The sequence below is a fragment of the Homo sapiens genome, chromosome 2, assembly GCF_000001405.40.
Source record: "Homo sapiens chromosome 2, GRCh38.p14 Primary Assembly".
In the NCBI taxonomy this organism is placed as follows: Eukaryota; Metazoa; Chordata; class Mammalia; order Primates; family Hominidae; genus Homo; species Homo sapiens.
The window spans coordinates 240,633,268-240,645,840 of NC_000002.12; the positions used below are offsets into that span (position 1 = coordinate 240,633,268).

Genomic DNA, 12,573 nt, shown 5'->3' on the forward strand with positions numbered 1-12,573 from the left:
ACTTTGGAACCGGGTAATAGTCAGAGGTTGGAACAGTTTGGAGGGCTCAGAAGAAGACAGAAAGATGTGGGAAAGTATGGAACTTCCTAGAGACTTGTTGAATGGCTTTGATCAAAATGCTGATAGGGATATGGACAATGAATTCCAGGTTGAGGTGGTCTCAGATGGAGATGAGGAATTTGCTGGAAACTGGAATAAAGGTGATTCTTGCTATGCTTTAGCAAAGAGATTGGCAGCATTTTGCCCCTGCCTTAGAGATCTGTGGAACTTTGAATGTGAGAGAGATGATTTAGGGTATCTGGCAGAAGAAATTTCTAAGCAGCAAAGCATTCAAGAGTGCTCTTAAAAGCATTCAATTTTATGCATTCACAAAGAGATGATTTGGAATTGGAACTCACATTTAAAAGGGAAGCAGAGCATAAAAGTTTAGAAAATTTGCATCCTGACTATGGGATAGAAAAGAAAAACTCATTTTCTGAGGAGAAATTCAAGCCAGCTGCAGAAATTTGCATAAGTAACTAGGAGCCACATGTTAATAGCATAGACAATGAGGGAAATGTCTCCAGGGCATGTCAGAGGTCTTCACAGCAACCCCACCCATCACAGGCCTGGAGGCTTAGGAGGAAAAAATGGTTTTGTCGTTGGGGCCCAGGGCCTTGCTGGTTTGTGCAGTCTCAGGACTTGGTGCCCCACATCCCAGCAGTGGCTAAAAGGGGCCAATGTACAGCTTAGACCTTTGCTTCAGAGGTGCAAGCCCCAAGCCTTGGTGGCTTACATGTGGTGTTGGGCCTGCAGATACACAGAAGTTTGCTGCACTGGTGGAACCCTCATGTAGAACCTCTGCTAGGGCAGTGTAGAAGTGATATGTGGGGTTGGAGCCCCCCCACACAATCCCCACTGGGGCACTGCCTACTGCTACTGGAACTGTGAGAAGAAGGCCACCATCCTCCAGACCCTAGAATGGTAGATCCACTGATGGCTTGAACCATGCACCTGGAAAAGCCACAGACACTCAACACCAGCCTGTGAAGGCAGCTGGAAGGGAGGCTGTACCCTGAAAAACAACAGAGGCAGAGCTGCCCAAGGTCATGGGAGCCCACCTCTTGCATGAGCCTGACTTGAATGTGAGACATGGAGTCAAAGGAGATCATTTTGGAGCTTTAAGTTTTGACTGCCCACCTGGATTTCGGACTTGCATGGGGCCTGTGGCCCCTTCATTTTGGCCAATTTATCCCATTTGGAATGGGTATATTTACCCAATGCCTGTACCCCCATTCTATCTAGGATATAACTAACTTGCTTTTGATTTTATAGGTTTGTAGGCAGAAGGGACTTACCTTGTCTCAGATGACACTTTGGTCTTGGACTTTTGGGTTAATGCTGGAATGAATTAAGACTTTGGGGGACTTTTGGGAAGGCATGACTGGTTTTGAAATGTAAAAGAGACATGAGATTCGGAAGGGGCTAGGAGCAGAATGGTATAATTAGGCTTTGTGTCCCCACCCAAATCTCATCTTGAATTGCAGTCCCCACATGTCAAGGGAGAGACCAGGTGCAGGTAATTGAATCATGGGTGCAGTCTCTTCCATGCTATTCTCATGATAGAGAGTGAGTTCTCATGAAATCTGACAGTTTTATAAGGGGCTCTTCCCCTTTGGCTTGGCACTTCTTCTTGCTGCGTTGTGAAGAAGGTGCCTTGCTTCCCCTTCGCCTTCCGCCATGACTGTAAGTTTCCTGAGACTTCCCCAGCCATGCTGAACTGTGAGTCAATTAAACCTCTTTCCTTTATAAATTACCCAGTCTCGGGCAGTTCCTTATAGCAGTATGAAAACAGAATAATATAAGGCTGCATGCCAGGCAGTCCCATGCCTAGGAGGGTCCATGTCTCGGGGTCCCTCCCAGGAAGGTCCATGTCCAGGGGTCCCTGCCCAGGAGGGTTCATGCCTAGGAGGACCCATACCCAGTAGAGTCATGTTCAGGAGGGTCTATTCACAGCAGAGTTCATGCCCAGGAGGGTCCATGACCAGGAGGGGTCTGTGCCCAGGAAGGTCCATGCCAACCAAGGAGGATCAATGCCCAGGAGGACCCATGTCTAGGAGGGTCTACGTCCAGGAGGACCCATTCCCAGGAGGGGCCATACCCAGGAGGGGCCATACCCAGGAGAGGCCATACCCAGGAGGGCCTATACCCAGGAGACTTCATGCCCAGGAAGGTCCATGCCCAGGAGGGCTCATGCCTAGGAGGACCCATGCCCAGTAGAGTGTCCACGAGGGCCTATTCACAGGAGGGTCCACACACAACAGAGCCCTGTGCCCAGAAGGGCCCATGCCCAAGAGGATCCATGACCAGAAGGCTCTATGACCAGTAGGGTCCATGCCAACCAAGGAGGGTCCATGCCCAGGAGGGTCCATGTCCAAGAGAGTCGATGCCCAGGAGGACTCATGTCAGGAGGTTCCATGCCCAAGAGGGTCCATGCCCAGGAGGACCCATGCCCAGGAGCGTCCATATCCAGGAGGGTCCATGTCCAAGAGGGTCGATGCCCAGGAAGGCTCATGTCAGGAGGGCCCATGCCCAGAAGGGTCCATGCCCTGGAGGGTCCATGTCCAGGAGGGCCCATGCACAGTAGGGTCCATGGCAGGAGGGCCCAGGCCCAGGAGGGTCCTATGTCCAGGAAGACCCATATTCAGTAGGGTCCATGCCCAGGATGGTCTATGCCCAGGAGGGTCCATTCCTAGGAGGGCCCATGCCCAGGAGAGCCCATATCCAGGAGTGTTTATGCCCAGGAGGGCCTGCACTCTACAGGGTCCCATGCTCAGGAGGGCCATGCCCAGGAGGCCCTGTGCTCAACTGGGCTGTACCTACTTTAATGCACCACTGTCCTGAGCTTCCTGATTTTTCAGAGGCCCTGGGTTTTTGTTTTGCGGGGCCTGCATTTCCTGTGACCTGCAGAAGTAGCTCAGGACTAGGCAGTGTGGTCCCAATTCCAGAAGCTCTGGAGGCCTCTGTCCCCCTCTGCCTTCAGGTGGGCTGGCTCCCTGGCCCATGCATGCGTCCAGGCTTCTGCCTGCAGCTGGAAACCCTCCTGTCCCTAACTCTGGGGCATTGGAGGCTTCAGGGACAAGTTGGACCCAGAACCAGCTCAGGGAGCCAGGGTGCATTTGGTGGGGGGGTCGGGGGACCAGCAGCCCTGGGCTCCTCCATCTCTGTTCTTTCCCCTCCCCACAGCACCTATGGCCTTTGGCTGAGCCAGATCTTTCCAGGGCTTTGGTGATCCTCAAAGACCAAAGTCAGGAAACACCACAACTGTATCAGAGCCCCCATCGTTTTCTGGTACCCAGGTCCTGGGGGTCTGCCCCTGCCACTGCACACGCATCCAGTCCTGGCCCATTCCAGCGGCTCCCTCTCCCCACCTCCCCACAACCATCCGCATGGAATGAGGGGGTCTTGAAAACCGTACACCTGGCTCCCGGGCCTGGCTGTGTCCAGCCCTGCGGTGTGGCCTGTGGTCACGGCACCAGCCTCTCCCCACCCTCCCCCTTCTGTTCCTGCATTCACCATCACGGGGCACACTGCCTAGCCAGGACCAGGCCTGCTGCCACCCCACCCACGAGGAGCTCACCTCAACCCCACTAAGCCTCTCAGGCTACCCTCTGCTTGGAAGGCCTCCCTATGGGGTTCCCTGCTCATCTCCCCCTCCTCAGGGGCCCGAGCCCTTGGTTGCCCTTTATACAGGCCATGCCCAGCCTGCCCATGACTCTCCCCAAACCCTAGATCTGCACCAGGTGGGACCAGGTCACACCATTCTGGAAAGGCCCATGAAGGTGACCAACAGTTACTGGTGGAGTAGGGATGGGGGACGCACCTGCGTGAGAATGAGGGCAGCCCACTTGGGCTTTTGCACCCTCTCCTCTCTCCATCCTGCCCCCACCACCCAGCCCGGTTTCCCTCCTGTGTTACAGGAACCCCTGGAATGGGTCCTGGCCCTGCCACTGGCCCCATATCCCCTATTCAGGGCTTCCTGAGGACTCTTGCACCTGCCCTGGTCCTCCAGACCTGCTCCCACGGCCCTGACACACCTCCTGCTGTCACCAAAACCCAGCGTCTCTGGGGCCCACCCCATGGCTTTGTCCAGGGCACAGCCAAGCAGATAGTTTCCATGTCCCTGACTTCTACCACCCTGGCCCTCTGGGACTTTCATTTCCAAGAGATGGAGGAGTCCATGGAACAATCCCAGCCCCAGGGTGGATTCCTGCGAGGCTGACCAGCTGAGCCAGGACGGAGCGCAGATGTCCAGTCTTGTCCCCAGCCAGGTTTGGGGATCAGGGAGACAGGAAGAACTGGGCCTGGGACTCGGCTCCAGCCTTACCCATCTGAGGGGCACTCAGATGGCCGGCGTAGACCAGCAGCGGCAAAGAGCTTTAGATGGAAAGGTGAACTCTGGCCAGGTGGTAGCTTCCGACAGCCCTGTGTCAAGAAGGATTCTGAGGCTCCCTCGGGGCTCCAAGGCACAGAGAGGGGTGCTGTCTGCAGAGGCACCGTGCCTGGTCTGGCAGAGCCCCACCCTGCCCCTGTCTGTGCCCTTCGGGAAGTCCTTGCCAGGGTGGAGTAGAGGACAGCAGTGGGCGAGGCAGACGATGCTCTTCTAGAGCCTCTGCAGCAGGTCCTGGTGTGGGGGCTACTTGGTGGTGGACGGAGGAGCCCTCAGCTCTCCAAGGACCCCCCGCAGCCCTGGGGGGTGCACAGAGCTTTGGGGCACTACTGCCCCACACTGGCTGTCAGGATACGGCCCCTCCACAGTGGATGGCTGGGACAGGGACTACACACACCCACTCTCCCTCCTATCCCCTCCTGGCTCCCAGCACCATGGAGGCGGCTGGACTTTCACAAAAACCCAAGGACATTGAGAGGAAACAGAGGCAAAAGCACGACCAGTCAGGCGCCCAAGAACTGACTTCAGAGCCCCGATCACAACTACACACTCTGAGCACCCACATCCGAGTCTGGCCTTTGGGCTGGGCCAGGCCAAGCAGAAATCCTCTTTCTCAAATGAGACCAGGCACAGACCCCAGAGGGCTTAGGAGCAGCCCACACACTCATCACCACAGAGTCACCATTAACTAGCAAAACCATTAATTAGCAAAGAACAAGCATTAGAAGTCGATTCCAGTTGAGGCTGCATCAACAGGAGTACAGGGTCTGGAACGTGGGAACACAGAAGCGCATCCTCCCTTGCTAGTGAACACCTGGGGAATTGTATCTGGCAAGGGACACGTTCTGTATGGGGACCACAGTCATCCTGGGGAAGGTTCTGGAGTTGGATGCAGGGTAGCAAGGGCTTGGCAATTCAAACTACTTGGGAACAGAAGGGGAACTGTGGCTGTTAGCAGACGGCGAGCTGCCTCCCAGAAAGTGACGGCCCTCTGCAGCCACTGACGAGCAGAAGGTCCAGATGACTGCCGAGGACGGACCCAGGACTGGCGGGGGACCCAGCACACTGCCCAGAACCGAGAGGCTTCTGGTCAGGGACACGGGTGTCTACTTAGGTTCTCGTCATTGGATTCTTAGTGCTCTGTGCTGTCTGTTTGCTTCTCCCAGTCTGGAAGCTTTTAGGGTAGATATGTATTTACACTGAGAGCGTGAGGATTTCACCACGATGCACACCAGGCTGGATTTTCACTCAGTTACTGTGCTGGGAACATGGTGTGCTCTTCCAGTCGGAGGACCGCAGCTGTCTGGGCTTGATTCCCTTCTTGGATAATTTCCTCCACCCGTGAGCCAGAGTTTGGAGTTCTTAGACCGACCTTCTGTTCCTTATTGATTCATTTTTCGTTTCCTTTTGTCCATCTCTTTGACCTTTTGTTCTGCCTTCAGGGGATACCATCTCATCTTTATTTTCCAAGTGTTTTACTAAATTTTTATTCCAGTGATTATTCAAGAGTCCTTTCTTGGTTTTTGGTCATTCCTTTTTATTTATTTATTTATTATTTTTTGAGACGAGGTCTCACTCTTGTCACCCAGTCTGGAGTGCAATGGCACGATCTCGGCTCACCACAGCCTCCGCTTCCCGGGTTCAAGCAATTCTCCCACCTCAGCCTCCCAAGTAGCTGAGATTACAGGCGCCCACCACCACAACTGGCTATTTTTAGCCTTTTTAGTAGAGACAGTGTTTCCCCATGTTGCCCAGGCTAGTCTTGAACTGTTGACCTCAAGTGATCCTCCTGCCTCGGCCTCCCAAAGTGCTGGGATTACAGGCGTGAGCCACCGCGCCCAGACTGGTCATTCCTTTTTAAAAATACTATCCTGTTCTCACTTTGTGATGCCCCGTCTTCTCAGGTCTCTCTGGGGACGTCACTTGTGGTTGGCTTTTTATTTCATTTTTAAACAACTGTATAGGGGTATAACTTCTGCACAGTAAGCTGAACTGAAGGTGCACAGCGTGATACGTTGGACCAACGCCTCCGCCCATCGCCTGTCACCGCGCTGTTGTCCCCAGAGCTCCCCCTGCCCTGTGGCCCCTCCACTGGTTGGCTGCATCCCCCACTTTGCATTTTCTGGGGCTCCACATGGATGGGGCCTGCGATGTGTGCGCACTCTGCAGTGTCCTCCCCGGCGGGGTGACTTCGGAGCCCGTCCAAACAGCCGCACTCTGCTTCCTTCATTTCATTGCTGGGTGGGTTCCGCTGACACGTGTTTTCAAGTCCCCTCTGCTCCCCATGATCTCTGTCTCCTCTGATTTCCTCGTTTTCCTTTGTTCTGATTCCTTCCTTCCTTCCTTCCCTCCCTCCCTCCTTCCTTCCTTGACCTACCTTCCTTCCTTCCTTCCTTCCCTCCCTCCCTCCTTCCCTGACCTACCTTCCTTCCTTCCTTCCTTCCCTCCCTCCTTCCTTCCCTCCTTCCCTGACCTACCTTCCTTCCTTCCTTCCTTCCTTCCCTCCCTCCCTCCTTCCTTCCTTGACCTTCCTTCCTTCCTTCCTTCCTTCCCTCCTTCCCTGACCTACCTTCCTTCCTTCCTTCCTTCCCTCCCTCCTTCCTTGACCTTCCTTTCTTCCTTCCTTCCTTCCTTCCCTCCCTCCCTCCTTCCTTCCCTGACCTACCTTCCTTCCTTCCTTCCTTCCCTCCCTCCTTCCTTCCTTCCTTGACCTACCTTCCTTCCTTCCTTCCTTCCCTCCCTCCCTCCTTCCTTCCTTGACCTACCTTCCTTCCTTCCTTCCTTCCCTCCCTCCTTCCTTCCCTGACCTACCTTCCTTCCTTCCTTCCTTCCTTCCCTCCCTCCTTCCTTCCCTGACCTACCTTCCTTCCTTCCTTCCTTCCTTCCCTCCCTCTCTCCTTCCTTCCCTGACCTACCTTCCTTCCTTCCTTCCTTCCTTCCCTCCCTCCTTCCTTCCCTGACCTACCTTCCTTCCTTCCTTCCTTCCCTCCCTCCTTCCTTCCCTGACCTACCTTCCTTCCTTCCTTCCTTCCCTCCCTCCCTCCTTCCCTGACCTACCTACCTTCCTTCCTTCCTTCCTTCCCTCCCTCCCTCCTTCCCTGACCTACCTTCCTTCCTTCCTTCCTTCCTTCCCTCCTTCCTTGACCTACCTACCTTCCTTCCTTCCTTCCCTCCCTCCCTCCTTCCTTCCCTGACCTACCTTCCTTCCTTCCTTCCTTCCTTCCCTCCCTCCCTCCTTCCTTCCTTGACCTTCCTTCCTTCCTTCCTTCCCTCCCTCCCTCCTTCCTTCCCTGACCTACCTTCCTTCCTTCCCTCCCTCCCTCCCTCCTTCCTTCCCTGACCGTCCTTCCTTGCTGAAGGTGCTCAGGCAGCTCCTTCCATCCCCGGCCATCCAGGCTCCGGCGGTCCAGGAGAGAGCTGCAGTCAGCCTGGGCAGCCAGGAGGTGGCGTCGGTCATGGGGCGAGGGGGCAGCTGGCCGGGCTGCCAGCGTCTGTGCGCCTTTCCTGTGGAACAGTTTAGTTTCTTCGTGAAGGTTCTTCTTGTTCCTGCTAGGGGTGGAGCCTGGCTGCAGGTGGTCTGAGGGAGAAGCGGGTCTGGGTAGAGGGAGCCTCGGTACTGACCGTGGGCAGGCGTCTCACCGAAGCTCCTACACGCTCGGTCGGGGCCCAGTGGCACCCCGAAGCTCCTACACGCTCGGTCGGGGCCCAGTGGCACCCCGAAGCTCCTACACGCTCGGTCGGGGCCCAGTGGCACCCCGAAGCTCCTACACGCTCGGTCGGGGCCCAGTGGCACCCCGAAGCTCCTACACGCTCGGTCGGGGCCCAGTGGCACCCCGAAGCTCCTACACGCTCGGTCGGGGCCCAGTGGCACCCCGAAGCTCCTACACGCTCGGTCGGGGCCCAGTGGCACCCCGAAGCTCCTACACGCTCGGTCGGGGCCCAGTGGCACCCCGAAGCTCCTACACGCTCGGTCGGGGCCCAGTGGCACCCCGAAGCTCCTACACGCTCGGTCGGGGCCCAGTGGCACCCCGAAGCTCCTACACGCTCGGTCGGGGCCCAGTGGCACCCCGAAGCTCCTACACGCTCGGTCGGGGCCCAGTGGCACCCCGAAGCTCCTACACGCTCGGTCGGGGCCCAGTGGCACCCCGAAGCTCCTACACGCTCGGTCGGGGCCCAGTGGCACCCCGAAGCTCCTACACACTAGGTGTCCCTAGTGTCCCCGCTGTCCCCACCATCTGCAGGCCTGTGGAATTTTTCCTAGGAATACATCTCCAGTCTTCTGTGTGGGAGAGCGTATCATCAGGGCTCAGTGCAGGGAAAAGAATCTTCCTCAAGCACAATGAGAGTAAGACCTGAGACGCTTGGGAGGCCTGGGAAAGGAATATGGGGGCTCTGAGGGGGGTTGTGGCCTCCAGGTCAGCCCAGCGCAGCTGCAGGGCCTTGCCTGGCCCAAGCGGGCCCTGCTGTGAGGGAGGGCGGCGGAGTGCAGCGTCTAGCACCCAGGACGCCAGTGCAACGCGGGGCTGTCTCCCCAGAGCAGCCATCTAGACGACGGCACGCAAGGCCCGACCTCGCTGGAGCCCGCACGGAGAAGCCACGCGTGGGGCCCTCACCTGGCCCTGGGGAAGGTCAGCCCCCACCTCCCCACCCACGTCCCGGCCCCACGAGCAAGGAGGTCTGGGGAACATCAGGCTTCCAGACCTTGCCACCCAGAGAGCTTAGGAGAGGGCAGAGATGGGCACCGGTGGTCAGGAGACCCTCTCGGGGGTGGAGGAGGTGCCACGGGCCCTGCTCTCAGAGCCCCTCCTATGCCCTCTGGCTGTCAGATGGACTTGTTCCTGACCGGGCCCACCGGTGCCAGCCTGCGGCATCACCCACGCCCCTCCGCCCCCATGGCTCACAGGAGGGCGTGCGTCTTCCTGACATCCCCGGACCTCCCGAGGTTTCCACCAGCAGAGGGAGGGGGCGCCGCTCTCCTCACCTCCTGTCTCCTGGAGGCCAGCCTGGCTGGGGTCTCCAGGCGAGTCCTGCTGCTGCACTGTGGCTGCTGGCCAGGTGAGCAGACCCTCAGGCCCTCTCGGCCCAGCACTGAGCCACCCTCCCACCTGCCGCCCCCCAGGGGGCTGCCGCCTCTGGGACTGGAGTTTGCATGCAGGGGTTTCACCAGGTGTTCTTGGGAACACCACGCGAAAAAGGGCAGGCGAGGCAGTGACTTCACTGTGACCCCAGGATGCTCTGGAGCTGAGATGACCCTCAGAGCTGACCACCCTGGGATAGTCTCTGGACACAGCTGCCTCCGCTGAACCGCATCACCAAAGGTGATGCGCGGAGGGGTCTTCGGTCATGAGCAGGCCAGTGAGCCGTGTGTGCCTCAGTCCTGAGGGGTCTCTGTGCAGCATACCACAGAGGCTGCCACACCCTCCCCAACCCTGCCAGGCCCAGGAACCTGCCCCCCACCAGCTGCAGCTGCCAGGACCGTGTGTTCAGGCCACATGCAGTCAGCCCTCCCTGAAAGCCCTCTTTGGACCCCGAGGCCCAGGGCAGGTCTGGCTTATTGGCTCAGACTCCAGTGTCCAGCAGGGAGGGAGAGTGGGGGCTGCTGGCTGAGGGTCTACAGGTTCTCCTGAAGGGCAGCTGGCCTGCTGTCCCTGGAACTCCCCAGCCAGCCCAGATGCATGCAGGTCGGGGAGGGCGGCCCTGCAGCCTGCACACCCCACAGTCTCCCCACTCCGCCCACCTGCCTTTCTGCCTTCCTTTTGCTCCACACATTGCCCATCACCCGGATTCTCCTTAAGAAATGAAAACCTGAAACCAGTCCAACAAGCAAACAGCCCTCCAGCTCGTCAAGCCAGGTGGCAGAGGGGCGGCGGGGGGGTGCCTGACTCCTCTTTGGCCAGGCCGTGCCCTGACGGCCCCAGTACCCTCAGCCCCCAGCCCTCTCTGTCTCCTGTCTGACCACTCACTCCTCTGTTGCTGGCCAGGTCCTGGGGATTCTGCAGAATTCCCACCCCACTTAGGAGCTGTTCCTGGGAGGGTGGTGCAGCAGAGAGGCCACGCACCCCGCCCTGCTTACCCTGGGGAAGCTTCCTCTCTGTGCCTCACCTTCTTCATCTGCAGAAGGGTGCGTGGCCGGTGCGACGGGCCATGGCGAGCATTTCCAGGCTCAGAGCTGCACACGGTGGGTGGCGGAGATCATCTGTTCCATTCTTTCATGGACGGGGGCTCCAGCTGAGCTTTAGTTTAATGAAGATTCCCACAGTGAGAGGTCTGAACACCGCTGTCCTCACGGGTGGAAGCAGAGCTGCTTTCAAGCCACTCCCACCACGTACCACTTCTGGCCTTCGATCTCTAGGTGCTGGGCAGACCAAGCCATCCGCCATCCCTACATCTATCGGGCTGCCCACTTATCGGACCAACTCAACCCTCAAGCCTCAGCCTGGTAACACCTCCTCCTAGGAAGCCCTCTCCAGGCTCAGACAGGTCTGGTGCCTCCCATGGTCCTCACACTCAAGGCTGGCTGAGCTGAGTGGCCCAATCTCCTGTCCGTGACCCCCGTGTCTTGATTCCTCAGAGGAACGGCTAGAGAGGGGCTGGGAGCCAACCCCAAGGTCCCCTGCCTCCCCCAACAGCGGCCGTGGGTTTCGGGATCCATTTACTCCTGCTCTGAGGATCTGGCATGACTGAGCTGTGGGATTAGCGCAGATGCTTCCCTAACAACCGGGCAGTGGGTTCCGGAGAGAAGCCCAGGCAGGAGGCAGTCCCGAGGGACTCTTGCTGGCTGCAGGGCTTCGAAATATGCTGGGGATGCCTGAGGCGAGGGAGCAGGGTGGGTGTTCTCGACAGCCTCTGGTGAGCCTGGGTGAGGGGAGTAAGGAGTTGGGGGAGGCCCAGGCTCAATGCCCTGCCCCACTCTTCCCCCAGGCGCACCAGCCCCTGCACTGTTTGCAGATCTCCTCCCTCTCTTCCTTCCTCTCTCCTCCCCTCCCCTCCCCTCTTCTCTCCTCTCCCCTTCTTTCCCCTCCTCCTGTCCCAGCCTCTACAATCCTGCCCAGAGCATCAGCGGAGCATCCCACCCTCAGGGCACAGACATGGGCCCCTTTCAGCCTCCCCAGCTACACAGGAAGATGTTGGAGGTCAGGGACCTTCTGGCCTCTGCAACCCTCATCCCAGCCGTGGTCCTGAGGACATGGGAACCCACACTGCCTGTCAGAATCAGCCTGTGCAAGGCTGTCTCACACGGGGAGCCAGTCGTCTCTGTGGCTTTGTGGCCAGGGGAGTCTCCACTTGCCCCAGACAGCAGGGGTCACCCCAGAGCCTTGCCGTGGGGGATGGGGAGAGCCAGCCCCTGTCTGGGTTTCAACAGTGCTGTGGGTGGGACTGGGGATGGTGGTCGGCCCGAGTCAGCCACAGCCGTCCTTGCCTTCTGCTTCCATGTCCTGTTTGGGCTGGAGGTCAGCCTGGCTCATGGTTCCCAAGCCTTTGGGAGACATTCCCCTGAGCACCTGACCCCTCTGCCCCGAGCCTCTTGCCTGCTGCTCACCTGGAGAGAGGGAAGGAGCCTCCTGCCCTACATTCTCAGCCATGCTGGGGAGAGGTGTCTCTCAGCCCCTGGCTCTGCTCCCCTGGGGTGGTGGCCAGGAGAATCGCAGGGTCTGACTTAGGAAGGAGCCGTAGCCTGGACTTGCCACTGGAGCCCACCTCAGAATTGGGGCCCCAGCACCAGGCCCTAAGGACTGGGGCTTCCAGGCCACACTCAGGCCTGGAGATGGGGCTCAGCCACCTGATATCATGGCTGGGCGCAGCTTCCCTGCTGGGAGCGCAGCCTGGGTGGCAGAGTGGGCGGGCGATTCCCACCTCCCAGCTCCAAGGGGGCGGCGGGCATCCTGGGGTGGCTCCCAGGCGAGGGATGACTGCTTGCCTGGACCCTCCCTTCAGGTGATCTGCGAGTCAGCTTCCAATGTTTCTCCAGTCTCAGCCCTGTGGGAACTGCTGGGGCTGTAGGCCTTGGTCCCTGTCTTTGTCGCTGTCCAAACATTAGACTAATATTGCCCCAAATCGTCACTAATTCATAGCCAAAATATCGCAGCAGCTCCATATTAGACTTCAAATAAGTAGTCCGAGGGTCTGGAGGGTCCCAGGAATAG

The 12,573-nt window shown here is 58.2% G+C and overlaps 2 annotated features.

Annotated features, from left to right (window-relative positions):
• Positions 8,341-8,878: an enhancer, noted in NCBI's record as "H3K27ac-H3K4me1 hESC enhancer chr2:241581025-241581562 (GRCh37/hg19 assembly coordinates)". NCBI's record gives its function as "activates a minimal SCP1, AML or CMV promoter by ChIP-STARR-seq in naive H9 embryonic stem cells {active_cell/tissue: H9 hESC(naive)}" and the evidence as "EXISTENCE:reporter gene assay evidence [ECO:0000049][PMID:30033119]".
• Positions 11,813-12,312: an enhancer, noted in NCBI's record as "H3K4me1 hESC enhancer chr2:241584497-241584996 (GRCh37/hg19 assembly coordinates)". NCBI's record gives its function as "activates a minimal SCP1, AML or CMV promoter by ChIP-STARR-seq in primed H9 embryonic stem cells {active_cell/tissue: H9 hESC(primed)}" and the evidence as "EXISTENCE:reporter gene assay evidence [ECO:0000049][PMID:30033119]".